The sequence below is a fragment of the Homo sapiens genome, chromosome 9, assembly GCF_000001405.40.
Source record: "Homo sapiens chromosome 9, GRCh38.p14 Primary Assembly".
NCBI lineage: Eukaryota > Metazoa > Chordata > Mammalia > Primates > Hominidae > Homo > Homo sapiens.
In genome coordinates, this window is record NC_000009.12 from 135,559,797 (window position 1) to 135,587,221 (window position 27,425).

Here is a 27,425-nt window from a genome sequence, read left to right on the forward strand (position 1 = left end):
CGTTCCTCCTGCTCGCTGAGGTTGCCCGGCTCTGGCACAGAGTCATTTCCCATAAACTTGCTTTCACTGTGCTCTGTGAGTCACCTTGAATTCTTTCCCGTGTGAGATCTAAGAACCCATTCTTGGGGTCTGGACTGGGACCCTCTTTTCCGACAACACTTCCCCCACGCACTGTTCTTGCAGCTTTGTTAAAGGTCTGTTGTTGTTGTGTGTGAGTCCATGTTTGGACTCTCTATTTCCCATTGATCTATGTGTCCATTTCTCTGCCAATACCACAATCTCTTGGTGACTATTGATAATAGTGCTTGTAAACTTGGGTAGACTAACTCTTTATACTTTATTCTTCTTCAAAATGGCTTTAGCAATTGTAGCTCCTTTGCCTTGACATGTAAATTTTAGAAAAAAAAATTTCTCTATATATCTACATATGGTGGGGTGTGGTGGCTCACACCTATAATTCCAGCACTTTGGGAGGCCGAGGTGAGCAGATCACTTGAGGTCAGCAGTTCGAGACCAGCTTGGCCAAAATAGTGAAAACCCCTCTCTACTAAAAATACAAACATTAGCCAGGTGTGGTGGTGGGCGCCTATAATCCCAGCTACTCTGGAGGCTGAAGCAGCAGGATTACTTGAACCTGGGATGCAGAGGTTGCAGTGAGTCAAGATCGTACCACTGCACTCCACCCTGGGCAACAGAGCAAGACTTGGCCTCAAAAAAATGTATATATGTATATATGTGTGTGTGTGTGTCACACACATGTCTATAGCTACCTACAAAATATCTTGCTGAGAATTTGATAGGAATTGCATTAAATCTCTAGGTTGAGTTGAGGAGAGCTAACACCTTTGCTGTGTTGAAGCTTCCAGCCCATGAACACATTGTGCCTGTCCTTTACCTTAGGTCTTTGATTTCCCTTCCTTGGGTTCAGAGTTTAAGTCCTGTCCATATTTGGTGAGATTTTTGCCTACATGCTGTGTGTGTGATTACAAATCCTGAATTTCCAGTTTCGGGTTCTGTCTACTCCTTGACACTGTGTGGGAACACGGTGGATTTTTGTGCGATTGACCTTGCTGACCTCACTCGGTTCTAGGAGGGGTTTTGTAGAGTTCTTGCAATTTTGTACCTGGGCAATGATGTTATATGCGAATAGAGACAGGTATACCTCCCCCTTCCCAATCTGCCTGCCTTTAGTTACCATTTCTTGCCTAGCTGCTCTGGCCGGAATGACCTGCTCTGATGGATGGGGGAGTGGGAGTGGACACCCGTGTCTTGCCTCAGGACTCAAGTGCTCTCCAGGGAGTGAGATGCGGGCTCGATTGTAAGTTACAAAGTGATGCTTCCCTGTGGGAAAAAGTACATCCAATATAGACTGTAGGACAAAGTCTGAAAGTCCACTGCCTCCCATTTCCACCCAGTCTTGCCTGTGAGTCAGAGAGAAACAGTGCTAACAGGCAGTGTGCACCTGTCCAGAGGCTGGCTGTTTGAGGGACACAGGTGTGCACACCTGGGGATGTCTGAGTGGAAGGTACAGGTCAGGATTATGACCGTGCAGTCAGTCACCCACTGGCATGATGTCTGTGGCATCCTGGGGCAGCCATGGGGCTCTCAGGCCCTCTGCCTGCCCCACAGGCCATACCCCTGCCCTGGACACAGCTGTCCTCAGTGCTGGCCTCTGACCCAACATTGTCCAGGAGCCCCAACCCAGAAGGTGCTCCCGCCGCTGCCAGCCTGGACCCGACCCAGGCCCCTCCCGCCTGAGGCCCTGCCAAGAACTGCCCAGCCCGGACACAGAGGAGGTTCCCGCGTGGACGCAGGGAAGAGCCTCCCATTGCCCCAGTGGAGGAAGCTGCCCAGGGGCCAAGGATGAGTCACAGGTTCGAGGAATCACATGGCGAGGCTGTGGGCGGGGATCTTGTCTGCCCTCCTCCTACATAAGGCCCCCTGAGCCCACACTGCCTCAGCATCCCTCTGGCTCCAGAGCTCAGAGCCACCCACAGCCGCAGCCATGCTGTGCCTCCTGCTCACCCTGGGCGTGGCCCTGGTCTGTGGTGTCCCGGCCATGGACATCCCCCAGACCAAGCAGGACCTGGAGCTCCCAAAGGTTTGAGGCTGGGGGAGCGGGCACTTTACTGTGGGAGGCCTGGGGCGGGTGGGAGCTGCGGGCAGGCAGGAAGCCCAGGATCTCAGAAACCTACAGGAAGCACAGAATGGACGCCATGACGTCAGGAAGCCCTCAGCCCTGCTCTCCATCTTTAGGGTGGCCTCTCTGGTTTCCCAGCATCCTAGGTGACTCATTATTTGGACTTTGGAACACTCCTGAGTTAGCACACACTGGTCATTTTAAGTACAGGAAATTTCATAGCCCAGGATCTGGTAGATAGCAGACAACCATCCAATGCTCACTGTACCCATCCCAGTTAGACTCAGCCCCGTCTGCACCGGGTGCAACGAGAGCCATGGTGGGGTGGGACCGCCGTGCAGCCCAAGGCCCCCTCAGTTGGCAGGGACCTGGCACTCCATGGCCATGGCGACCAACAACATCTCCCTCATGGCGACACTGAAGGCCCCTCTGAGGGTCCACATCACCTCACTGTTGCCCACCCCCGAGGACAACCTGGAGATCGTTCTGCACAGATGGTGGGTTTCTCATCATTGAGACGGGCTGGGCGGGGGCTCAGTCTCCCCCCTCAGGGGTCCAGGACTGGGTGGGTTGGGCGGAGCTGGACTTAGCCCCAGGCATTTTCTGACAGCCAGGGGCTTCACTGTGGCCCTTCCATGAGGGTGGGGTGGAAAACCAGGGCTCCAGACGTTCCCTGTCCCCTTGGATCCCCTGCCCCAGGCTCTGGGCCAACAGCCAACCACACAGTGCAGCCCCAGGTCAGACTGAGGAGAAGGTCTGGGCGGCTGCGGGCTGCGGTGCTCCTTGGACCCGGGGAAGTTCCCGTGGTGACCTGATTTTAGGAGTGACAGTGAAGGCAACTCCAATTCAAGTGGCCACTCATCCTATTGTCACCACCTTTCAGGGAGAACAACAGCTGTGTTGAGAAGAAGGTCCTTGGAGAGAAGACTGAGAATCCAAAGAAGTTCAAGATCAACTGTGAGTGTCCCCAGGCCCCAAGGGCTGGCTCAGTGCTGGCATGCTAGCCACGCTCTCCCAGAGGCGGCTCTGCTGGGGCATGAGGGAGTGGGGCCTGGCCTGTCCCCACTCTCTCTGCTTCAGGGAGTCAGAGTGTTTACTCCGGTCAACCTGATGCTGACCCCAGAGGCATCTTTTACCTGGAGGGCAGGGGAAGCACTAATTCTTGGCATGACATGACTGGATGTGGGTCTGCACTGTGCCCAGGCACAGGGGACAGGTGCTTTGTTGCACTGTTCACTCTGGCCTCACAAAAGGCCAGGGAGGCTGCAGGCGAGCAGGTGGGCAGGTGGGCAGGTGGGTAGGTGGGTAGGTGGATATGTATACAGGTGGGCAGGAGGGTAGGTGAACAGGTGGGTAGGTGGGCAGGTGGCTAGGTGAGTAAGTGGTTAGGTGAACAGGTGGGCAGGTGAGCAGGTGGTTAGGTGAACAGGTGGGCAGGTGGGTAGGTGGGTAGGTATACAGGTGGACAGGTGGGTAGGTGGACAGGTGGGCAGGTGAGTAGGTGAACAGGTGGGTGGGTGAACAGGTGGCCAGGTGAACAAGTTGGTAGGTGGGCAGGTGGGTAGGTGAACAGGTGGGCAGGTGGGCAGGTGGGCAGGTGGGCAGGTGGGCAAGTGGCTGCTGTTCCCGTGGGCCTGGCTGCCTCCTGCGCACTCTGGGGCTGCAGCTCTGGTCTTAGGCTGAGCTCCCAGGCCTCTCTGGGGGAAGAGAGAGGGGCTTACAGCATGTCCTTGGTCCACTGAATTCTTCCTAACAATTTGCAACATTTTGTTCTATTTTGTTAATTATTATTTTTTTAAAAAGACAGAGGTGGTCAGGGTCTGGGGCCTCTTATCCCCTCATGGGCACATTTTCCCAGCAAATACAGTTTGCTTCTCATGCTTGGGACTTGCCTCAGGCCTTTCTGACCCTGCTTGCCCTCCCCAGAATCGAGCCACTCTCCAAGGTCCATTTCTTCTCCCTCTTCCCGCCCCTGTGCCCTGTTCCTGTGCCATCTCCCGCCATCCTCACCCGTACGTGACTTCTCAGTTGGAGTCTCTCCAGGTCACAGCCTCCCTGCCTGCCGTGTCTGCCTCTCCACGGCACACCTGGCCTCTCCCCCTCAGCCGGGGCTCCATGGCCCTCCACATTGCCTCTCCTCCCCTTTCCTCCCTGGCTTCCCTGATCATGGTCCACAGCAGGGGCCACGTCCCATGGTGTCAGTGGATGAGGAAGCCACTTAGTGTGGTGGGATGTCCACACACCTGCACAGGACTCTGCTGAGACGGAGGCTTCATCTTCCTTTTGGTTCTTCTCTTCTTTCCCCAGATACGGTGGCGAACGAGGCCACGCTGCTCGATACTGACTACGACAATTTCCTGTTTCTCTGCCTACAGGACACCACCACCCCCATCCAGAGCATGATGTGCCAGTACCTGGGTGGGTCTCACAGCACATGAGCTCAACGTGGGTGAGAGGCAGCAGCTACGTCCGTGGCTGGGAACCCTGGGGAGCTGACAACTGGCTTCCTGTCCACCTCGGTGCCTGTGGGCTGACTTTTTTTTTCTTGGTTTTTTTTATTTGTTTGTTGTTTGCTTTGTTTTTTTGAGAAAGGGTCTCATTCTGTCACTCAGGCTGGAGTGTAGTGACGTGATCTCGGCTCACTGCAACTTCTGCCTCCCAGATTCAAGCGATTCTCGTGCCTCAGCCTCCAGAGTAGCTGGGATTACAGGCGCACGCCACCATGCCCAGCTAATTTTTGTATTTTTTGGTAGAGACGGGGTTTCACCATGTTGGCCAGGCTGGTCTCCAACTCCTGGATCAAGTGATCCACCCGCCTTGGCCTCCCAAAGGGCTGGGATTACAGGCGTGAGCCACCACGCCCGGCCAGGCTGAGTTTTTCTCCAGCGGTTCATCGAGTCCTCTGACAAAGCAAGGAGCTGATATAGGGCCAGTGGGACGGTCGCCAGTCAAGGGGCTGGGCTTGGTGGATAGATTAATACTCACTGGGCGTCCAGTCAAAACGCCCTGAAACCTATGATGCTGTCAACCAAACGAAGGCCAGGAATACCAAAATAGCCACATAGGCACAGCCCTTCCCCATGTTTCTGAGCACAGTGTTTCCTCTGGGGTCACACAGGTGTCTTCTTGATCAGCCTCAGCCATGCTTGGTGAGAGCCGGGCACTGGGAGAGCCAGGCACTGTGCTCTCCTGTGACGCTGTAGACACCATCCTAAGCTGTGCAGACCCCAGCGCTGCCCAGAGCGGAGCAGAGGGGGCCGGGCCAAGGAGTGGGAGCTGGGGTCAGGGAACCTGGAGGTGCAGTGGACAGAGCCCCGGAGACCGCCCTAGGGACCTACTCCAGACCAAACTCTGCCAGACCTCGGAGCACTGGGGCCTCCTTCTCTGCCCTCCCTCCTCAGGCAAGGCCTCTGGAGCTCCCCAGCTCTCATGGAAGCCCCAGGGGCCCAGGACTGACCCAGCCTCTTCCACAGCCAGAGTCCTGGTGGAGGACGATGAGATCATGCAGGGATTCATCAGGGCTTTCAGGCCCCTGCCCAGGCACCTATGGTACTTGCTGGACTTGAAACAGATGGAAGGTGAGCTCTGCCTAGGACACGCCCAGCCTCAGCTGGAGGAGAAGCTGCCTCTTTCTTAGCCCGAGCCCCCTGCTGGCTCTGCAGGACTCAGGTCACTCCTTTTTGGCCCCTCCCCTGTTCTCCCCTGGCCTTCTGGGGTGCAGAGCCACCCTGAGGTGGGGTCCTGCCCTCTCCCACCATCCTTTCATCCCTTCTCTAGCCCTGGGGCTGCTGTGTCCCCAGCTGTCTCTTCTCTCGCTGACACCTCCACTGTCCCATCTCCTCCCACAGAGCCGTGCCGTTTCTAGGTGAGCTCCTGCCTGGTCCTGCCTCCTGGGTAATGTATCAGCCTCGCCCACTGTCTGCGGCTGCCTCTCTGGGCCCCTGGGACAGACCCTACTGTGTCCAGTTCAGGGCTGACCCTACAGGAATGAACTGGGGTCTGGTCTTGTGATTCCAGAAAGCCAGGCTGCTGACGTCCCCATTCACGAGCCCAGCCTGTGTCTTGCAGCCATTGTATTAGTCACGGGCTTGTGCCCTATAGTCAGACCTCATGCTTTCTTTTGGGGTTAGGGGTGTTGGTTGGAAATGGTGGGGGCTATAGGAGGAGGAAGGAGGATGGTTACATGGAAGGGCATGAGAAGCTGGGGACCTGCAGGTCTCGGTCCCACGTTCTTTTTTTTTTTTCTTTTTTTAAGATGGAGTCTCGCTCTGTCACCAGGCTGGAGTGCAGTGGCACAATCTCAGCTCACTGCAACCTCGACCTCCTGGGTTCAAGCGATTCTCCTGCCTCAACCCCCCGAGTTGCTGGAACCACAGGCGTGTGCCACCATGCCCAGCTAATTTTTGTATTTTTAATAGAAACGGGGTTTCACCATGTTGGCCACGATGGTCTCAATCTCTTGACCTCATGATCCCCCCGCTTTAGCCTCCCAAAGTGCTGGGATTTCAGTGCCACATTCTTAAGGGGGTGTCCTCAAGCCCACCACATCCTTCCAGGGCTCCCCCGAAACACCCTGCTCTTCCTCCCTCTACTTAAGTGACCTGTAAACCCAACAGCTCACCTCCGCCTCCAGGAAGACCAGACTCCCACCCTTCCACACCTCCAGAGCAGTGGGACTTCCTCCTGCCCTTTCAAAGAATAACCACAGCTCAGAAGACGATGACGTGGTCATCTGTGTCGCCATCCCCTTCCTGCTGCACACCTGCACCACGGCCATGGGGAGGCTGCTCCCTGGGGGCAGAGTCTCTGGCAGAGGTTATTAATAAACCCTTGGAGCATGTCCTGTCTGGATGCGCAGCCACTGCTGGGTGTGGGATTCAGGGACGAGGGCCTGGGGTCGGGGCAGGCCCAGGCCACCGCCTGGCAGAACCGGAGCTCCTACAGACCCATGGGCAGCTTCTGGTGGAGAAAATACCTCAAGTTTCTTATCTACAAAACAAAAGGGTCCACTTTCACAAACTTGTGAAATGTCTAGAACAATAAAACCAGGACACTCATATCAGAATTGATGAGCCCAGAGGAAAACTCATAGTCTTTAATACTGAAATGGGTTAGCAAGAAATAATTAAAATCAATGAATCTGTAATGAGCTCTTGTTAGAAAAAAAAGCGTTAGAATGAGGAAAGTAAGAAAATAGAATGAAGGAAGATAAAAGCAAAAATGACAAAATCAGAGAAACATATCAAATTCATGCACCTGTGCCCCCAGGTGGGGAGGGGTGGGCATGGTAGGATTTAGCTCACCTGTCAGAAACACCCAGGAAAAAAAATTCCAGCAAGTATCAATCACCACAGATTAAGAGAAAATAGATTAAAAGAGTCATAAGGGATTATGCTATTTGACTCCAGAATATATTTTTTACAATCCAAAAGAGATGATTTCAAGGCAAATATAAGCATCCAAAACAGATCAGAGAAGACTGGAGACAGAGTAGGTAAGGACCCTTCCCAAGGCAGACAGACAGACACAGTCAGAGGTCTGTGTCCCAGCCCAGCCCCCAGCATCGAGAGCAGCCGGGCAAGCGGCCAGGGATCTCCTGCTCCTTTCGGGAACAGGTGAAACGAGGCAATGTGAAGAGTCGCAGGCATGGGGAGGGGGCAAAGCTTCCACACTCGTTTCTAATGCTGGGAAAATATCTCCATCAAAACTCCACAAAACCAGGCCCTACCAGGAGTAACTAGGACTTGTGAGGCAGTAAGGAACGTCCGCACTGTCTATATAACAAACAGGCCATTTTAACCCAGGCATGGGGGCTCACACCTGTAATCCCAGCACTTTGGGAGGCCGAGGCAGGCAGATAACCTGAGGTCAGGGGTTCGGGACCAGGATGGCCAACATGGTGAAACCCCATCTGTATTGAAAATAAAAAAAATCAGCTGGGTGTGGTGGCGGACGACCTATAATCCCAGCTACTCTGGAGGCTGAAGCAGGAGAATCGCTTGAGCCCAGGAGGCAGAGGTTGCAATGAGCCGAGATCGCACCATTGCACTCCAGCCTGGGTGACAGAGCGAGACTCCATCTCAAAAAAAAAAAAACCCAAAAAAACAACAACAACAACAACAACACTCAAATAGGCCATTTCATCCTCATGACTGCCCATGGGGCAGAAGCCCTTACTGTCTCATTGCCCAGCTGGTGGGTGGCACATGGACTGGCAGGGAGTCTAATACCCACACATGCAACCATTGCACCTGCTGGCTCCATCACCACACCACCCTGTGTGTCGAAGCAAACACCCCGAACAGTACCGGTGCCCCTGGAACCCAGTCACACGGTGAGAGAATCACAGAGGCGTCTACCTGAGCTTCACCCCCGGAAGACATCTCTGGACATAATTGTGTAATTAAAGGATCAAGAATACCATGATTTCTCTGCAGATGCTGGAGTCTGTTAAAAACATTAAAACCCTTTCCCTTTAAGTTCTCTACAAATGGACACAGAGTAAATCTCTAGCACGTGTCATTAAGTGAGACAAATGAGGCAAAGAGGCAGGTACATGGTCTTTGCTGACTTTCATACAAGAAAGAATGGAATTAAGACTGTCCACACCTATTTGGAAAAAGACACAGGAGGAATGAATGGAAATTAATGAGTATGGTCATCTCTGAGGATAAAAATGCATGCAGAGGGTAGGAATCGAAGCCAGCCTTTTATAAGTGTAACTTTCATGCAGTTTTAACTTTTGAACCAGTTAACATTTTATGTATTTAAAATATAAAATTAAAACAAAAAGTAAAAGGCGACAAGCCATAAAATGAAAACAGAAACAAATGAAACTAAACCCTAAAATCGACAATTTCAGAGGAAAGAAACTGCTTCAGGTAATTGTTTTTTCTAGTGAAGTGTTTTCCTTGGCTGGCTGCGAAGCAATCCTGTGTGAGGCTTGATCACTTCCAGTATTAGTGGCTGTAAACAGGGATGGAACACACATCCTCATTTCAAAATCTGTGGCTGGACCTCATGCACGCTGTGTTGTTAAGAGGATGTTAATTGTGCTACATGACAACTACCTAGCTGCCTGCTGCCAGGGCCTGCAGAGAGACCCTGGCATCTCGTTTTCTCTGATGGTACCCCAGTTTATTCACACTTTGGTCTCTTTTGGAGTATATTCTAGAGCAAAAGGCATTGCCAAGAAATCCTTACTTCAACCCAGTAGTCACATCCATGTTAGTAATGATATTAGTGTTCTATCAGTCAGAGCCCAGTATGAAACAGAGAGCACACAGGAAGTAGATAGTTGAGGGAGGACTCACATACGGAGGTGTATCCTTAGGGAGACAGGAAAGGATAATGCCGTAACTTGGGGCTTAGGAGTAGCCAAGCCCTTGCCATTTATAGTCACTAGAGGATAAGGGGGATACAGGGTTTTCATGGTGACTGGAATAAACAAAACAAAAAGACAGGAGGAACAAAATAGTGTCTAGAAGACATCATAGTCATTGTAGAAATTTAATGGTTGATAAGGGAATTATTTCAATTCAGTAGCAAAGAATGTCTTATGTAGGAAATAGTATGTAACTAGTTGGTATCAGTGTAACGCTTGCCTCATAAGATGAGTTAGGGAATGTCCATCTGTTTGCAATTTATGGGAGAGTTTTTGAAAGGTATTGTTCCTTTCTCAAATGGTAGGATTTACCAGTGAAGCCAACTGGGGTTTGAGATCTTGTTGTGGGGAGGGTGGTACAAGGGGAGGGTGGTTAGGAAAATTTGTGTCTACAAATTCCATTTCGTAAGGTCAATTCTGGTGATCCATTGCTTCTTTAATAAGCTTGACCCTTTGTATATTTCCAGGAATTTATCCATTTTGTCCAAGTTTTCAAAATTATTTTCATCAAGTTATTCAAAGTATTTTCTTTTTATCCTTGTAATGTCCATAGGGTCTGTAATGGTGTCCCCTTTCCTTATTCCTGAGAGTAATCATTGGTGTCAGCTGTCTGATTTTCCTGATTAGTCTGGCTTGAGATTTATCCATTTCATTAATCTTTTTGAAGATCAAACCAGCTTTCAGTTTCATTGATTTCTCTATTGTTTTTCTGTTTTCTATTTCACTGATTTCAGCTATTATATTGAGTGTTTATTTCCTCCTGCCTGCTTTGTTTTAGACAATTCTTTTTCTAGTTACTCAGATGCTAGCTCAGATTGCTGAATGGAGGATGTTTATGTCATTGAATATAAACATTTAATGCTATAAATTTTCTCCAAAGTACTGCTTTAGTTCATCCCACATATTTTAATATATTTTCTTTTATAACATTTTTAAAAATTTATTTATTTTCTTAGAGATGGGGTCTTGCCATGTTGCCCAGTTGGTCTCAAACCCCTGGGCTAAGATAATCCTCCCACCTCAGCCTCCCAAAGAGCTGGGATTCCAGGCAGGAGCCACCACACCTAGCCATATTTTGTTTTCATTTTTTCTCAACTCAAAATATTTTCTGATTTTCCTTGTGAAATTCATCCTTTGGCTACTTAAATGTGGTTTGTTTTGTAAAAGGAAATTAAATTTGGGACCCCAAACTCATTTAGCCAAAGGGAAAAGTCACCCTGAGAACTGAGTCACAAAAGGCTGCCTCCCCACTTCGGTTACTAAAGAAGATTGGCTACAAGATGAAAGGCTACCCACCTCCCCCTATTTTGCCCACAAGGAAATTCCTGGTGAGCCATGGCGATGCAAATTGTCAGCTTATCTTTGCAGGTGCAGTCACCCCAGCCAGCCAGACACAAATACATATCTGATTGTTTCTGCTGCCCCATTGTGTCTGTGTTATCTTATGTAAAATGCAGATTCCCCACATTTTTCCTCTGCCCCTCCCCTTCCGTTTATATGAAAACTGTGTGTTTCTCAATATCCCACCCTTTCCCCTTTACATTTGGAGCACTTAAAATCATCTTCAGAGAAAGGCATAGACCTGTCTCCTGGGTGCATCCTTAATTTTGGCAAATAAATTTCCTAAAATGATTGAGACTTGTCTCATCAGTTTCTTTGATGGACAGCTTCATCACCAAACATCTGCAGATTTTCCCTACATCTTTTTGCTATTGATTTCTATTTGACAAAAATACAATTCGTATGATTTCAATTTTCTTAAATTTGGGGGAACTGGTTTTATGGTCCAGGATACAATCTCCCTTGCCGAATGTTCTGTGTGCTCTTGGAAAGAATGTGTAACCAGTGTTAGGTGGTTGATAGTTAATTGGTTGAGACAATGACCAAGCTTTCTATATCTTTATGTTCCGTCAACTTTTTCTTTGTTACTGAACAGGGAGAGTTGCAGTCTCCAGCTACTACTGTGGAGTTATACGATTCTCCTTTCAGTTATATCAGCGTCTGCTCCATGCCTTATAAAACTCTGTGATTCACTGCATTCACAGATTCTCTTGATAAATTTATCCTTGTAAAAGAATGTGTATTTTGCTGTTACTGCATGGAATATTCTCCTATTTTTACATGTTTGAGAGGCATTTGCATTTTTTTCCATGAAGAATTAAATCATATCCTTTGTCTATTGAGTTCTTGGAGTTTTTCTATTGACTTGTAGGAGCTCTTTATATATTAAGGAAATTAGATATTATTTGTGCTATTCAGTTGTTATAAATAAAGATTTGGTGCCACAAAAGAAATAACACTTGAATATAAAATTCCCTTTTCAATTCTCAGCAAGGCAAGTTACTTCTATAGAAGGGCGCGCCCTTATAGATGGAGCAATGGTGGGCACACACCTGGACAAGGGAGGGGAAGGCGTTCTTATCCCTGACACATGTGGCCCCTGCTGCTGTGTCGTTCCGCTATTGGCTAGGGTTAGACCACACAGGGTAAACTAATTCCAACTGGCTAATTTAAAGAGAGTGATGGGGTGAGTGGTTTGGTGTGAAAAATGGTTATGACAGAGCAGGTAATCAGAATGTAGTCAGGGTGGAGCAGGCAATCGGAAAAATCAGGTACTTGGCGCAATGACATCTCATTCTTGCCACCTCCACTGAGGCAATGTGGAAATAGCAGTGACTACGAAAACAGGTCACATGGCACCAAAAATGGTGTTTGAGAGAAAGAATGATGGAAGGATGGATGGATGGATGGATGGATGGATGGATGGATGGAAGGGTTGTGGATGGATGGTACACGGGTGAATGAATGGATGATTGGAAGGAATGGAAGCCATAGGAGGAGTCAAAAGTGATACTGAACATGAAAGCACCTTGGCAAGCTGGAGAAGTCATGAAAGTGAGAAGATAAATGACCTATTCAATATGAGTAAATGAAGCCATCCACCATTCATCCATCCCTCCACCCATCCATTTATGCATACATCAACCTACAATATCCATTATATCCAATTATCCACCCGTCCATCTACCCTTCCATCCATCCATTCACCACCTCTCTACCCCCATCCACCATCCATCCATCTGCCAATCCATCTATCCATCTAATCATCCATCCATCTACCCATTCATCCATCCATCCATCCATCCATCCATCCATCTATTCACTTATCTATCCATTCCATCCAATCATCCATTCATCTATCCATTCATTCTGTTACCGGATGGTGCTGTGCAGTTACAGGCTCTTGGTGTCCTGAACAGATAATTTGATGTGGCACACACAAATAGCAAAGCAAGCAGCAAAAGTTTATTAAGCACAGTAGCACTCTGAGAGAGGGGAGAGTGGGCTGACCTCTGCAAGATGAGATCAGCATTAGTTTGGTATACTTTGGGTCTTTTTATATGTGTTTTTTTTTCTTTTCTTCCCAAGGCTGCCTAATCTTTAGCCAACATCTGCCTTTTGATTAATAGGTTGGTTGCTTAGTTATTTGGCCCTTGTGCACTTGCTTGTTGCCTCTATCCCAAAATTTTAAGTACATAAATGATATGCAGTCCATATGCATGAGCTTTAATGAGCTGATTATAATACGGGGTCATGATAAGGATACTTTTTCTCTCTACTGTGCATGCCTATCTTTGAGGAGCTGCCCCTTACTGGTTTGGTCCAGATCTTGCTAGCCATAGAGTTTCTTTACTTGCTTTTTTATCTTACTTTTGTTTGGCTGCTCAGTTTCTGTCTCCTGTCTTGCTTCTTGCTCACCCATCCCTTTGCCTAGCTTCTGCTCTCTGCTTTTACTCATTCTGCCTTTTATCCAACTTCCAATTCCTTTTATTACTTTCCTGCCTCAATTCCACACAGTCATCTGTCCATTGACCCATCCATCCATCCATCCACTCATTCATTCATTCCATCTAATCATCTGGCTACCCATCCATTCATCTACCCATCCATCCATCCACCCACCCATCCACCCATCCATCCATCCATCCATCCATCCACCCACCCATCCATCCATCCATCCATCCATCCATCCGTTTATTTTATCTGATCATCCATACATCTACCCATCCATCCATTCATCCATTTATTCATTCCATCCAATCATTCATGCATCTACCCATTCATCCATCCCATCCAATTATCAATCCATTTACCCATTTAACCACCCATCCATCCACTGCATATCCAGAATCTGTAAGAGTTCAACAGATGGGGCTGAAGGGGAGCCCACTAGGAGGTGCATCAAGCAATGTACCTTTTTTTTTCTTTTTCTTTTTCTTTTTCTTTTTCTTTTTCTTTTTTTTTTTTTTTTGAGATGGAGTCTCGCTCTGTCGTCCAGGCTGGAGTGCAGTGGTGCCATCTCGGCTCACTGCAAGCTCCGCCTCCTGGCCTCACGCCATTCTCCTGCCACAGCCTACCAAGTACCTGGGACTACAGGTGCCCACCACCACCCATGGCTACTTTTTTGTATTTTTAGTAGAGACGGGGTTTCACCATGTTAGCCAGGATGGTCTCAATCTCCTGACCTCGTGATCCACCCACCTTGGCCTCCCAGAGTGCTGGCATTACAGGCGTGAGCCACCACTCCCGGCCGCAGTGTACCTATTTTTAAAACACTAATGAAGTTGGGGAATAGAGAAATGGCAGGGAGATTGGACAGGAGGACTTAGGTCTGAAAGATGAGTCATAAGTTACAGGCAAAATGGAAAGGCCAACTGGAGGAAGATGGAAATATTGTTGGTGACACCCAGGGGTATTTGTAGAGGTGTGGCCTTGTTCAGAGGTGTCCTGAAGGTCAGAGCTGTGGGGCATCAGGAGGGAGGTGTCCATTTGGCAGCTACATACAAGAACCTAGAATTTAGGAGATGCACATCCAGGATGAAGCTTTGGAAGTCAAGAAAGGGTGCCCAAGACACCAGGAGAGGCTGAGATCCCCCAGAAGAGGAACAAAAACAGGAGCCATTTTGGCATGGAGAGAGATGGAGGGCGGGAAAGGGAGATAGTCAGAATCGGGGGAGGAAGGTGAGAGAGGAAAGCAGAATCCAAGAAAAGCCTTCCCTGGGAAGCACAGACGTGGCCTTGGGGCCTGGGGCTGAGAAGCCGGTCAGGAAGGGGCAGGCGGACACGGGGCCTCGGGGCCTGGGGCTGAGAAGCCGGTCAGGAAGGGGCAGGCAGACACTGCCTCTGCTGGTTGTGGGTTCAGGGCTGACGTGGCTGTGACGCACTCTGCTCAGGGTTCAGCGGGTCCTGGGTGCAGTGGTGGAGCTGTCACTGCTCACATCCTCATGGAACCACGTGCCAGTGACGGGGATAGATTTGCAGCCAGCAGCACAGCCAGACACGAGGGGCTGAGGAGGAGTCAGCAGACCATGTATTTGTTGTTGTTCTAAGAAACCTTTTCACTCGTCCTGCTTTGGTGACATTCTCTCTTGAGGTGAAGCTTTAGGAAAACAGGGTCCAAGATGGACAAACAGGATGCTTTACGGAATGGTCAGTGTTTTTCCAGCATGGCCCCACCCCTGCTGGGATGGTCCGCGGCCATTGTGAAAAACAAGTGAGTTGGAAACTCACCCAGTTCCCAGTCAGCCCAGAGTCAGGGAATAAATGGACAACCAGAGAGAGCCAGAGTCGCTACAGCCAGCCTGGCAGTGCAAGCCCGGAGCTGACACAGGGCCACAGCCACGATGCAGCCACTAATGCGGACCCTTGGGCTGAGCCTGCTTTCCATGCTGTGAGCCCAGGGGACCCAGATGGTTCCTGTCCCCGCTGAGAAGGTGAGAGCTTCGGGAGGGTGAGGTGGGCACACACAAGAGCCACTTCCCGGGCCACGGTCTCCAGACCCTGGACCGGATGCCCAGCCTCACACCCGTCGCACAGCAGTGACCCAAACCCCGGGGGACATCGTCAGCTGAAGGGTCCCCCTTGTGCCTTTGGTGGCGTCCCCTGGGTAGAGAAGGGGGTGCCAAGCAGTGCCTGGGCAAACTCACTCCTGTAGGCAGAACTGGTGTCTCCACTGCGGGGTGACTGCTCAGAGGCCAACGGGCATCTTGGTGAGGTGAAGATCCCACCCCAGCTCACCCAGCCTCTCCCAGGGCCAGGGTTTGGGGAGGTTTTTGTTGAGTACCTTCATCTCCCAGAGACAGCGTCTCCCCCTGGGGAGCTCAGGTTTGGTAGAAGCTGTGGGGAATCCCCCTTTTCTGAGTTTTCATTTTGCAAGGGCAACACATCGGGGGTCATATAAAATCCATTCTTGGCCGGGCACAGTGTTTCACGCCTGTAATCCCAGCACTTTGGGAGGCCGAGGCAGGTGGATCACCTGAGGTCAGGAGTTCAAGACCAGCCTGGCCAACATGGTGAAACCCCGTCTCTACTAAAAATACAAAAATTAGCTGGGCGTGGTGGCACATGCCTGTAATCCCAGCTACCCGGGAGGCTGAGGCAGGAGAATCACTGGAACCCGGGAGGCGGAGGCCTCCAGTCTAGTCAAAAAAAGCAAGACTCAGTCTCAAAAACAACCGAACAGCCAAACAAAACCCCACAAGTTCTTGTCAAGATTAAATGACTTTTACAAGTTTGTGGCATTATTAGAGAAAAGACTTAAGGGCGGCAAGTGCCCAGACGTCTGGTCCTAACATCCCCAGGGGTCGCCACGGCCTTGACTTCTTGAGACTTTTGGGCCTCTGGTTGGGCTGATGTGGCCTGGACACAGGAGCTCCTGGTGCTCAGGCTGGTGGACCAGGCCCCCCGGCACCTGGGCCCCCACAGCTGTGTCCAGGATTCCTGCTCCACAGAGCCTCCCTCCCTTCTCTGAGAGCCGCTCGGCCTCTGGCCACACTCTCCTCCCCCCGGGGCCTGAGGACCTCTCCCCACTGCCTCACCTGCATTCCCACCTCCTCCATGGCCTCGGTCCCCTCCCCAGGTCTCAGGGACTCGCTCTTTCAACCCAATGCTCATCTGTGGCTTTTGGGCCTGGGAAGTCCACACCTGTGCCCCAGAGACGCCACAGTCCAGCAGCGTGCGACCCAAGGGAGGCGGGAGCTTGCACTGCGAGAACAGACACGAGTGGCCAGGCCCAAGGCCTGCATGCCCAGGGCGGGACTGACTGCTGCTTGCTTTGGGGAGAATGCTGTCGAGTCTCATGCTCAGAGGCACCGGGGACAAGCAGGGGAAGGAAGCAGCGCTGGTCACCTGTGGGCTGTTCACACGCAGCAGCCATGGCTGTGGTCACAAGATGAGCTGGGCTCAGCCAGCGCCACGGCATGTTGCTGACTCTTGACCGGTCGACACGTGAGCTCTAGCCCCTTTGGCCCCTGGATGTCTTCCTGTCTCATCCCCCAACATTAAGGTTTGCCCTGATCCTTCAGGCCTCACAAGAGGGCCCCTGTCCCAGCCTCTGGCCTGGCTCCCCTTCTGCTGACGGATGTGGGGCTATCAGGGACCAGGACTCCTGACTGCCCCTTGAATATCTCTGTCTAGTTTGCTTTGCAACAAAACCCCACACCCTCTTCCACTGCCATTTCTTTCTCTCTCTCTTTCTGTCCCTCTCTCTATCTCTCTCCCTCTCTGTCTCTCTTTGAGATGGGGTCTTACTCTGTCACCCAGGCTAGAGTGTCACCCATGGCTCAAACATGGCTCTTTGCAGCCTCAAACTCCTGGGCTCCAGCAGCCCTCCTGCCTTAGTCTCCCATGCAGCTGGGACTACAGGCACATCCCGCCATACCCAGCTCATTTTTGTATTTTTTTTATAGAGACAGGAGTCTCACTTTGTTGGCCAGGATGGTCTTGAATTCCTGGGCTCAAGCGATCCTCCCACCTCAGCCTCCCAAAATGCTGGGATTCCAGGCATGAGCCATAGCGCCCAGCCTCTTTCCCTCTTATTCCTTCTTCCACCCTCAACCATTTCACGGTTAATTCCCACATCCTCAGAAATTTGTGTCATGCAGCAGTGGTGTCTGCTGAAATGTTGGGGGAGACGGGAAAGGCTTGGCCTCCCTCCCTACGCTCCAGTGACTATGGCATCTCCCTATAGGTGGAAGGACTGTGGCACGCCCTGCGCTGGGAGCAGGACAGGGAGCTACTTAAAGAGGAGACGGCTCACCCTCTGCCACCATTCTGGATCCAGCGTTTCCAGGGTAACTTTATGTTAAAAATGAATGTAAGGTGAGTGCCTGGTGGGGACACGTGGGGTGAGCGAGGGAGCTTCTCAGGCTCTCGCTGCCATCCAGGCCCTGGGCTGATGGAAAGGAGGTCACTGGCCACTCTTCTTCACCAGGCTGCAGCCACTTTGGAGTCCACCTTTCCGGCTTCTAACAGTTTCAGTCAGCAGGTCCCTTTTTAACTGGATCATGTGCTGAAGAACGCCACACACGGAGGGCTTGCTCAGGCTCTGGGCTCAGCCCAGGACCTTCCTGCCCCAAGCACCTCACCACAATCTCTCACAGGCACTTCTGTAAGGTGAGAAGTCCAGCAGCCATGGGTTTATTGTTTTTCCTGTAAAACAATAAAGTCTGGTAGGAGATTACGCATGTATGCTGTGAAAGACCTCTTTGCCTAACATAAGGATGGTAATTTTAGTGCCTTTGGTGTTACAAACCTTTATTACCTGTGGCAGCTAATTAATAGGAGATGTTCTAAGAGTCAAAGTTTCATTCTGTGGGCTTTTCATCTACCACCCACCCACCCATCCACTCACCCATCCACCCACCCTTCCATCTATTCATTCATCTATCCATCCACCATCCATCCACCCACCCATTCACCTGTCCATCCATCCACTCAATCACCCACTCATTCACACCTGCATCCATCCATTCATCCATCCATCCATTCATTCCATTTAATCATTCATCCACCCATCCATCCATTCCTCCACCCATCTATCTATCAAAACACACACCCATTTATCCACCCAACCATCCATCCATCCATCCATCCATCCATTCACCCATGCAATCATTCACCCATCCTCCCACCTATTCATCCATCAATCTATCCACTATTCATTCACCTGCCACCCACTCACCCACCCATCCATTCACCCATTCACCCACCCTTCCATTTATTCATTCATCTATCCATCCACCATCCATCCACCCACCCATTCACCTGTCCATCTGTCTACTCAATCACCCACTCATTCACCCCTGCATCCATCCATTCATCCATCCAGCCATTCATTCCATTTAATCATTCATCCACCCATCCATCCATTCCTCCATCCATCTACCCATCTATCAATCCATGCACACACCCATTTATCCACCCAACCAACCATCCATCCATCCATTCACCCATGCAATCATTCACCCATCCTCCCACCTATTCATCCATCAATCTATCCACTATTCATTCACCTGCCACCCACTCACCCACCCATCCATTCACCCATTCACCCACCCTTCCATCTATTCATTCATCTATCCATCCACCATCCATCCACCCACCCATTCACCTGTCCATCTGTCTACTCAATCACCCACTCATTCACCCCTGCATCCATCCATTCATCCATCCAGCCATTCATTCCATTTAATCATTCATCCACCCATCCATCCATTCCTCCATCCATCTACCCATCTATCAATCCATACACACACCCATTTATCCACCCAACCAACCATCCATCCATCCATTCACCCATGCAATCATTCACCCATCCTCCCACCTATTCATCCATCAATCTATCCACCATTCATTCACCCACCACCCACCAATCCATCCATTCATCCATTTATTCCATTATTTATTCATTCATCCATTTATGGATATATACATGCATTTATCATCTATCCTCCATTCATTCATCTACCATTCATTCCCCCTTCACCACCATCAATTCATCCACCATCCATCCACCATTTATCTTCCACCCATCCATCTAGCCATTTGGCCACCTCTTCATCTATTCACACCCCCATTCACCCACGATTTATTCATCCACTCCATCATCCATCTTTCACCCATTCCCCAACCAGTATTCATTCATCTACCATCCATGCATACATCCACCCATCCACCATCTATCCACCCATTCATCCATTAATTTATCTATCAACCCACATATGCATCCATCATTCATCCTTCCATTCAACCATACACCATCCATTTATTCACCATAATCCAACCATAATCAGTCCATTCATCTATCCAGCCATACATACCCCTCTTACCATCATGAGTCCACTTGTCATCCATTCACACCCAATTCACCACCCACTGTCTATCTTCCACCCATCCATCCATCTATCCACACCTTCATCCATCTATCATTCATTGACTTACATCCCCCATCTTCCATCCATCCATTCTTCCATCCATTATTTACCTATTCATCCAGCCATTCATCCACCTCTCTGCTTCCCCATTCATCTATCCATAATCCATCCACCGCTCATTCATTCATCCATAAATCCGTCCATCATCCACTATTTATCCATCCTTCTATTCATCTATCCACCCACAATCATCCACCCACTATCCATCTACCCTCATCCCCAATCTCTCACCCATCCACCCTTCCATTATCCCCCATTCACTATCCATCCACCATCCACCCTTCCATTATCCCCCATTCACTATCTATTCATCCACCATCCACCCTTTCATTATCCATTGTCCATCCATTTATTTACCAACAAATATTCATGGCATGGTGATCAGGTAGTGCACCATTCTAGACTCTGTGGATACAGCAGCAAAATGCACACATACAGCAGTCCCTACCTTCCTGTAGGTCACTGTGCCCCGAAGCAAACCACTGAAGCCCAGCTGTGTCTGGTTACAGGTGCAACTATCCACATGAGCTTCTCCATCTGGACCCACTGTTAGTGTTTTATTCTTGTGAATGGTTTTAGCATTTAGCTAATAGTTTCCTGCAAATAGCCTCTCAGAACGAAGTTCCCTCTTGCACCTGTGAAAGGTCCCCAGCTAGCATTGCTAATGAGACAGCTGGAAGCTTCAAGACCATGTGTAGAATTTCACTGTGTGAGAACCAAACCAGAAAATAACAGGCCCAAAGAACCCCAGAGACTTAACTAAAACATAGAGGAAGCATTTTCCTGCAACCCTCGCCTTCATAAACCCTCTTATGAGAGCGATATTTTTGTCCTGAAAGTGAGAATACAGAGGTTCAGGAAGGTGGTGTTCTGTGTTCAAGGTCACACAGAAAGCAGCCAATGTGACCACGATCAGACACAGGTGTGCTCACTTTACCTTGAGACTGCGCTCCCTGCAGACAAGGGAGGGGCGGTGGACACCTGTGAAGCGGGGAAACGGAGGAACAGCGTTTTCTGGGAAGAGTGAGTGTCACAGCCAGAGGGCTCACACTGGGTGTCAGGTGACTTTTTCCCTCCCTCGCTTTACATCAAGGCCCCAGCCCAAATCCTAGGGGCACAAGATTCTCAACAGCCTTGTCTGCACCCAGGTATTAAATGTATGTTTCTTGGAGATGCCCAGAGACCAAGTGTCCCCAAGCATCCAGCTGAGCTTGCCAGCCCTTGCACCCCAGCCTTTGGCCCTAAGGAGGTCCACGCAGCTCAGCACTGTCAACCATGGGGCACTGCTCTGATGCACTGGGGCTAGAGGCAGAGATGACACACCCAGGGCCTTCTTCAGAGTCCGGGGAGTCCAGGGAGAAACATGAACGCTGCATTGGATTTTGCAACTTTGCTGGCAACTCATTCGCTTTCATCCACAAACACCTTGGAGCCTCCCCTGTGGCCAGCAGTGGGCTGGAGACTGGAAAGCTGGCAAAAGCTGCCCTGCCATTTCCACCATGCCTCAGGACAGGGGCAGATGGATGCCTCCAGGAGCCTGAGTGCTGATGCAGGTGCACCCCAAAGGGACCTGGCCCTGCCCGATCCAGGGAAGACTCCTTGGAGGAGGCGCGCTTGGAGCCGCGTGCTGAGTGAGGAGTAGGAGTGTGGAGAGGCAGCCAGGCCCCTTTGCCTGAACAGGGATCCAGGTGTCCCTCGAAGACACAGAGGCTGCCCCTGGTGTGGGTTAGAGTTAGGGATGGATGCCTAAAAAGTACAAGAAGAAAGAGGAACAAGTCCAGGATGTTTGAGCCACCTATCAGATATCTTACCGTGTGTGGCACTGTGGGCCCGTGGCTGTTGCGAGGCCATGGGGGAAAGTTGGAGACATAGAGAAGGAACAAGAAGCAGAAACACAAATGCTCTGGTGGGTGATTCTCACCGGAGCGGGGACCCTACTGTGACCTGCGCATGTGAGGGATCTGGGTTGCAAGCTCCTGATGAGAATCTAATGCCTGATGATCTGTCGCTGTCTCCCATACCCCCTAGATGGGACAGTCCAGTTGCAGGAAAATGAGCTCAGGGCTCCCACCGATTCTACACTATGGTGAGTTGTAGAATTCTTCCATTATATATGACAATGGAATCATAGTAGAAATAAAGTGCACAATCCAAGGAATGCGCGTAAATCATCCTGAAACCACACCTGTCTACCCTGCTCCGTGGAAAAATTGTCTTCCATGAAACCAGTCCCTGGTGCCAAAAAGGTTAAAATATGAAGACAGTGGAGATAGCGGTTCCTCCAACCCAGCATGCTCCTGGCTGCAGAAAGCACGGTGGAGATGGGTGAAGCACAGTGGAGATGGGGGAAGTGAGGTGGAGATGGGTGAAGCGCAGTGGAGATGAGTGAAGCGTGGTGGAGATGGGTGAGGGTGATCGTGTAGATTGGCCAATGGTTTCTGCTCAGCTTCAGGGGAATCAGTGTTTTCTCTAGGTCAAGTTCAGCAGCCTTGGAGTTTCCACGTGCTGATCATCAGGAACCCTGGTGAACATGTAGGTTGAGATGGCGCTGTGCCTGTGGGTGAATGTCAGGTGCTGCCATCTTCACTGGCCAGGGTCCTCGGTGCCTGTAGTGGGGTCAGCAGAGGCTGGCAGTGGTCGGGGCAGGTGGACCATGAGCACCTCCCTGCGCTGGTCAGCAGCAGGAGTCCATCAAGATGAATGGAGCAGAGGGGGTTCGCTCTCCTTGGCAGAGACATCGCAGTGCATTTCTTGGGAGCAGTGGCTCCAACCTTTTTAGCACCAGGAATCGGTTTCATGGAAGACAATTTTCCCATGGCCCGGGGGATGAAGGATGGTTTCAGGATAATTCAAGCATGTTTCATTTGCTGTGCACTTTATTTCTATTATTATTACATTGTAATGTGTCATGAAATATGATGCAGTGCACTGTCATGTAGAATCAGTGGGAGCCATGAGCTTGTTTTCCTGCAAGTGGACGGTCCCATCTGGGGGTGATGGGAGACAATGACAGGTCATCGGGCATTCGATTCCTATAAGGGGCATGCAACCTGGATCCCTGCCCGTGCAGTTCACAGTAGGGTGTGCGCTCCTATGAGAATCTAATGGCCCCGCTGATCCGACAGGAGGCTCCGGCGGCCATGCAGGCAATGGGGACTGGCTGTAAACAGATGAAGCTTCGCTGGCTCACCTGCCGCTCACCTCCTGCTTCGTGGCCTGGCTCCTAACAGGCCATGGACTGGTGCCGTGGGGGTTGGGACCCCTGCTTGGAAGAACCCAGCTAAGAAGAGTCAGAAATGGGTCTGGGGGCAGCAATGACTTTCTCCGATTTTTCCTTCCAGGGATCCCACTGGGAACTGCACAGTATTTAAGACACTGCTGGTGAAAACAGACAACTCTACCACGTACAGAATCTGTGAGTAGCTGCCAGGCAGCAGAGCCACAGTCCCAGCAGCTCCCACACTCCAGCATCTGGCCACCAGCCCTGGGGGCACGCGGACACCCATCCAGCAGCTCCTGGCAGGCTGTGCTGACTCACCTCCGCCAGCCTCCAGGGCAGGCACTCAGCCCTCCTGGGGTCCTGTGCCCTCCGCCTGATCCCCACTTATTACACAGGGAAAGAAGGACTCAGCCCATCCCTGGGTCCCATGGACAGCATTTCCTGGGCCCGTGGTCCCTCCCTGGCATTTTGGAGTCATTTACAAGGCACGTTCTCCTCGCCGGGCCCTGGCAGAGTCCAGTGGCCTCTGTGGCATCCCGGAAGCTGTGTTTTCATCAGCCCTGCAGAGAAGCTGTCCAAGGCCAGCATCTGACCCCTCTGACCTCCGTCAGCCAGAGCGGAGGAAGCAGCATCTGGGGGGGACTCTCACCGGCCTGGAGATGCACTTGGGGCTCACCCACTCACTGCCACCATCCTGCCTCCCCGAGTGCTCTCAGCTTCTGACTCGGGGCCCCTCCCATTTCCTATAGAGGGACAGAAATTATTAGCATTTCAGACTCATAGACTCAACTTAAAAAGGGCGCAACCACCCAGCTCACAAGAGCACATCCTCCGCCCCTCCCAGCGGGGGAGCAGGAGGTCTGCATCTGTCCGTGGAGACGGACCACTACTACATCATGAACACCCGGGATGAGAGGAGGGACCCGGCCGTGCACACAATGAACCTGACAGGCGCGTGTCCACGCTGATGTCACGGGGCCTGTGGACGGGGGCCTGTGGACGGGGGCGCTGCCCCTTGGAGTCCTCCCTAACTCAGCCATGCCCAGGTCTCTGTGGCAATGTGGGTGTAGCCCCCACGGTTCCCTCTGGCTCTCGCTGGGCCACACCTGGCGGGTGGCGTCCAAGGAGACAGGCAAGGGCTCCGTGATGTGGGACCCTGGGCTGCTGGCCTGGGAAGCAGCATCTCTACCAGGAGAGGCTGGGTCAAGGAGTCATAGGGGAAGTGAGGGGTACATGGAAGACCCCCTCCTCCAGGATGAGTGTCTGCATGGTTGGCAGAACAGGCTGGGAGACGGGGTCCCTCTCAGGAGGGCCTGGGGGCTGATTCTGGGGAAGGATCATTGACAGCAGGACCCCTGATTCCCCACCTTACCCCACCCACCCCCACCACCCCCCCCTTACCCCACCACCCTCGCCACCCCCACCTTACCCCACCCACCACCTTATCCCACCCACCCCCACCACCCCTGCAATCAAATGTCCCTCAAGGAGTAGGTGCGGCAGTGGGGCAGGGCATCCCCAAGCCCAGGAGAGCCCTTCTCTGCTCTGTAGAGGGGCCTGGTAGGACCCCTTCCTATGGAGACTTCAGGGAAGGAGAAGAGAACCACCCAGGGTGCTGTCAGCCACACAGGAGGCCCCTCTGCTCAGGTCCCAGATATACTCAGGCCTCTTTTCCAGCCTGGAGCTGGGCTGGCAAGGGCTTCTTCCAAGGCCTCTTCTTAGCCAGAGCCAGCTCGGGTGTCACCCAGAGTCCTGGGCTCACCCTTGGGGCCTTGGCTCTCCTGCTCCATGGTTTGGCCTGGGGTTGGGGCTGCTACATATGTAGACAGGTCCCGGGGACAGCAGTGCAAGTCCTCTCTGAGGCCAGAGGCCCTGGGAGACCTGTCAGCATCCGGTCTGAAGAGTGGGGCCCTGCTCCCCTGCCCTACGTGGGCCTGGGGACCCTGCCTCTCCCGACTCCCTACCCCATTTTGCCTGCAGGCCACACCCTGCATGAAAACCCAGAAGCCCTGATGATCTTAGAAGCGTTTATAGAAAGCCAAAACATAAGCAAAGGCAAGATCTTTACCCCCACTCACCTTGGTAATGAGCACATTTTCCTGCTTTTCTCCGGACGTTCATTTCCCATGGGGATGAAGGGCTGCAGCTGACACTGAGCCGGGGCACTCCGTGTACACTGGGGAAGCCTCAGCATCCTGGGGAGGAAGCGACCCCCTGCCTGTCTTTCTCTCTAGATTCCTGCGTGGTCGGCTGTAACTGAGGTGAGTGCCACAAGGCCTCTGCGTGTGTTCAGAGTGTCCACACCAGACTCCGGCCGGACTCATGGGCCCTGGGACTCCGCAGCCCTCGACCTTGGCAGCCTCCTTGCCTGTGGGTGCTTGAATGCCACGCAGCATCCGACACATCCCACAACCTTGAGTCTGCTATGAGTCAAGTGTGGTCGCTGTAGATAAGGAGGAAAAAAGATCATGAAAAAGAACAACAACAACAAAAAATCACTCATGGCCGGGCGCGGTGGCTCATGCCTGTAATCCCAGCACTTTGGGAGGCCAAGGCAGGCAGAACACGAGGTCAAGAGATCAAAACCATCCTGGCTAACACGGTGAAACCCTGTCTCTACTAAAAATACAAAATATTAGTCAGGTGTGGCGGCAGGCGCCTATAATCCCAGCTACTCGGGAGGCTGAGGCAGGAGAATGGCGTGAACCCAGGAGGTGGAGCTTGCAGTGAGCCGAGATCGCGCCACTGCACTCCAGCCTGGGCAACAGAGCAAGACTCCATTTCAAAAACAAACAAACAAAAATCACTCCTAAGCTCACCACCCAGGCCAATGTACTCCAGAAAAAGGGAGAAGGCTTCACCACCTCCCTGTGTGATTTCATGTCCCAAGCTCTGTGTCTCAGGGTGTAGGAAGCCCTCTGTTGAATAAGTCCACCCTCCCTGGCCACAGCCTTAGTCCTACTTGCTGTTTGGGAACAGAAGATCCCTGCCCGGTGCCTACAGAGGGGTGGGCAGAGGCTGAAACCCTCCTCCATCTTCCCTCCCAGGCCCCAGGAGCCGAAGATTCCTCTTCTCACGACATGAAGCTCCCCTCCCCTCCTCCAGTCCTCAGCTTTCCTTTCTAAGAGAGAAGAGACCGGGGCCTGGGCAGTGAGTGGACAGGACTGTCCCCCTGTCCTCCTCTGTAGGTGCACGCCCCTACAGGTGACACCTCTGGGTCCTCCACACCCTCAGTAGGAGCTCCAGGGCATGGCTGGTCTCCCAGCCACACGGGAAGCCACAGGATCCCCATGGGACATCCCCAGCCACGTGCCACACTCAGTAACCACCCGTGGGCTTGTGTGCAAATCCCTGAAGTCAGTGATGGCTCAAATGTCGTCTCTGCCACCGTGGAGGTTGGCCATGGGGGAAAGGTGACGGGGGCAGAAGGGTGAGGGCTCCAAGTGGCTCGAGGAAGGGGCCATGGTGTGAGCAGGGGCACGGGCGGGCAGTCAAGGAGCTGGGAAGGGCCAGCCAGTCCTGCCCTGGAGCCTCCGGGAGGAGCCAGCGCTGCGGACACCTTGGCTGTAGCCAGGGAGGCTCACTTTGGACTTCCAACCTCCACACCTGTCAGAGGCCACGAGTGTTTAGCCATTAAAGAAACCTCCAGGGGCTGCGGTGACAAATGACCACAGACTCAGGAGCTGAACACAACGCACATGCATTGTCTCACAATTCTGGAGTCAAAAGTCTAGAAACAGTCGGTGGGGCTGGTTCCTTCTGGAGACTTCTGGGAAGGGGAGAAGCCGCTTTCTTGGCTTTCCCAGTTTCTGGAGTGGCTGCATCCTGCACTCTCGGCCCCGCCATGCCACCAAGGCCTCCGTTTCTGTAGCCTCTGCTGCTCTCTGGCATCTGCACGGTTGCCCCGAAGCCGCTCCGCGACGGCCCTCCCTGAGCTGTGTAGCGCTGGGGGGAGGAGGCGTGGCCACAGTGGGCTGCATTCAGGATCTTGAAAGCCACTGAAGCCATGGCTGGCTCTCAGTCCTCAGGGAGCCTCTTCCCCTGCCTGGCACCAGGCTCCCAGAATCTGGGAGGCAGCCTCTTCATCTGGCTGCTGGTGGAGACCTGAGCCCAGCCCCAGGGTCCTCAGTCCTGCCCCTTGTCCTCCGCAAGCTCTCACTACATCCTACCTATGTCCAGGGACCTCGGCCCATGCATCTGCCCAGATCCCAGCCTACCCGAGAGCATGCATCCCCAACTGGACCAGCACCCAACACAGCCCAGGGCTCCCCTGACCCACATAAACCTTGTTAATATTGCCTCTGTGGTCTCTGCTTGTTGCCTGAGGGGTGGAGGTGGGGGGTATCTGCTCAGACTGGCTCCAGCGCGTCCTAAGGCCAGGCCCTTCCCAAAGGAGAGTGAAGCCAG

At 51.8% G+C, this 27,425-nt stretch overlaps 1 protein-coding gene and 2 long non-coding RNA genes across 16 annotated transcripts, besides 1 other annotated feature; 2 read left to right on the forward strand and 1 right to left on the reverse strand.

Moving 5' to 3' along the window:
- Positions 1-1,959: 1,959 nt before the first annotated feature.
- PAEP (progestagen associated endometrial protein) lies at positions 1,960-7,159 on the forward strand. 12 transcript variants are annotated; one of them, XM_011518746.3, is made up of 7 exons: positions 1,960-2,101; positions 2,498-2,637; positions 3,024-3,097; positions 4,448-4,558; positions 5,542-5,718; positions 5,989-6,034; positions 6,757-7,159. In XM_011518746.3, exons 1-6 carry the CDS (start codon positions 2,006-2,008, stop codon positions 6,003-6,005), a joined length of 615 nt encoding a protein of 204 aa, XP_011517048.1. In that variant the 5' UTR covers positions 1,960-2,005; the 3' UTR covers positions 6,006-6,034; positions 6,757-7,159. The 12 variants fall into 12 exon arrangements, with proteins under 12 accessions (XP_011517048.1, XP_011517047.1, NP_001018059.1 ...); XM_011518745.3 differs by having other exon boundaries at positions 5,989-6,005; NM_001018049.3 differs by having other exon boundaries at positions 5,614-5,718.
- Positions 5,597-6,228: an enhancer, noted in NCBI's record as "H3K4me1 hESC enhancer chr9:138457239-138457870 (GRCh37/hg19 assembly coordinates)". NCBI's record gives its function as "activates a minimal SCP1, AML or CMV promoter by ChIP-STARR-seq in naive H9 embryonic stem cells {active_cell/tissue: H9 hESC(naive)}" and the evidence as "EXISTENCE:reporter gene assay evidence [ECO:0000049][PMID:30033119]".
- Positions 7,160-15,128: 7,969 nt separating the features above from the next.
- LINC01502 (long intergenic non-protein coding RNA 1502) lies at positions 15,129-27,316 on the forward strand. Of its 3 annotated transcripts, NR_034016.1 has the most exons (6): positions 15,129-15,298; positions 17,554-17,684; positions 17,838-17,978; positions 21,827-21,884; positions 23,140-23,213; positions 25,253-27,316. It is a non-coding gene; the product is annotated as a long intergenic non-protein coding RNA 1502 (long non-coding RNA). The 3 variants fall into 3 exon arrangements; NR_034017.1 differs by lacking the exon at positions 17,838-17,978; NR_109814.1 differs by lacking the exons at positions 17,838-17,978; positions 21,827-21,884.
- On the reverse strand, positions 17,630-25,425 carry LOC105376316 (uncharacterized). Its single transcript, XR_930428.3, has 2 exons — positions 25,097-25,425; positions 17,630-18,014 (listed from the first exon to the last, which is right to left on the reverse strand). It is a non-coding gene; the product is annotated as an uncharacterized LOC105376316 (long non-coding RNA).
- Positions 27,317-27,425: the final 109 nt, after the last annotated feature.

Excerpts from the sequence above, each read along its gene's own strand:
- PAEP (XM_011518746.3), top strand. The coding sequence starts at position 2,006 with ATGCTGTGCCTCCTGCTCACCCTGGGCGTGGCCCTGGTCTGTGGTGTC. Across the intron at positions 2,102-2,497 it reads AGGACCTGGAGCTCCCAAAG|TTGGCAGGGACCTGGCACTC; the intron begins GTTTGAGGCTGG and ends AGGCCCCCTCAG. Across the intron at positions 4,559-5,541 it reads CATGATGTGCCAGTACCTGG|GCAAGGCCTCTGGAGCTCCC; the intron begins GTGGGTCTCACA and ends CTCCCTCCTCAG.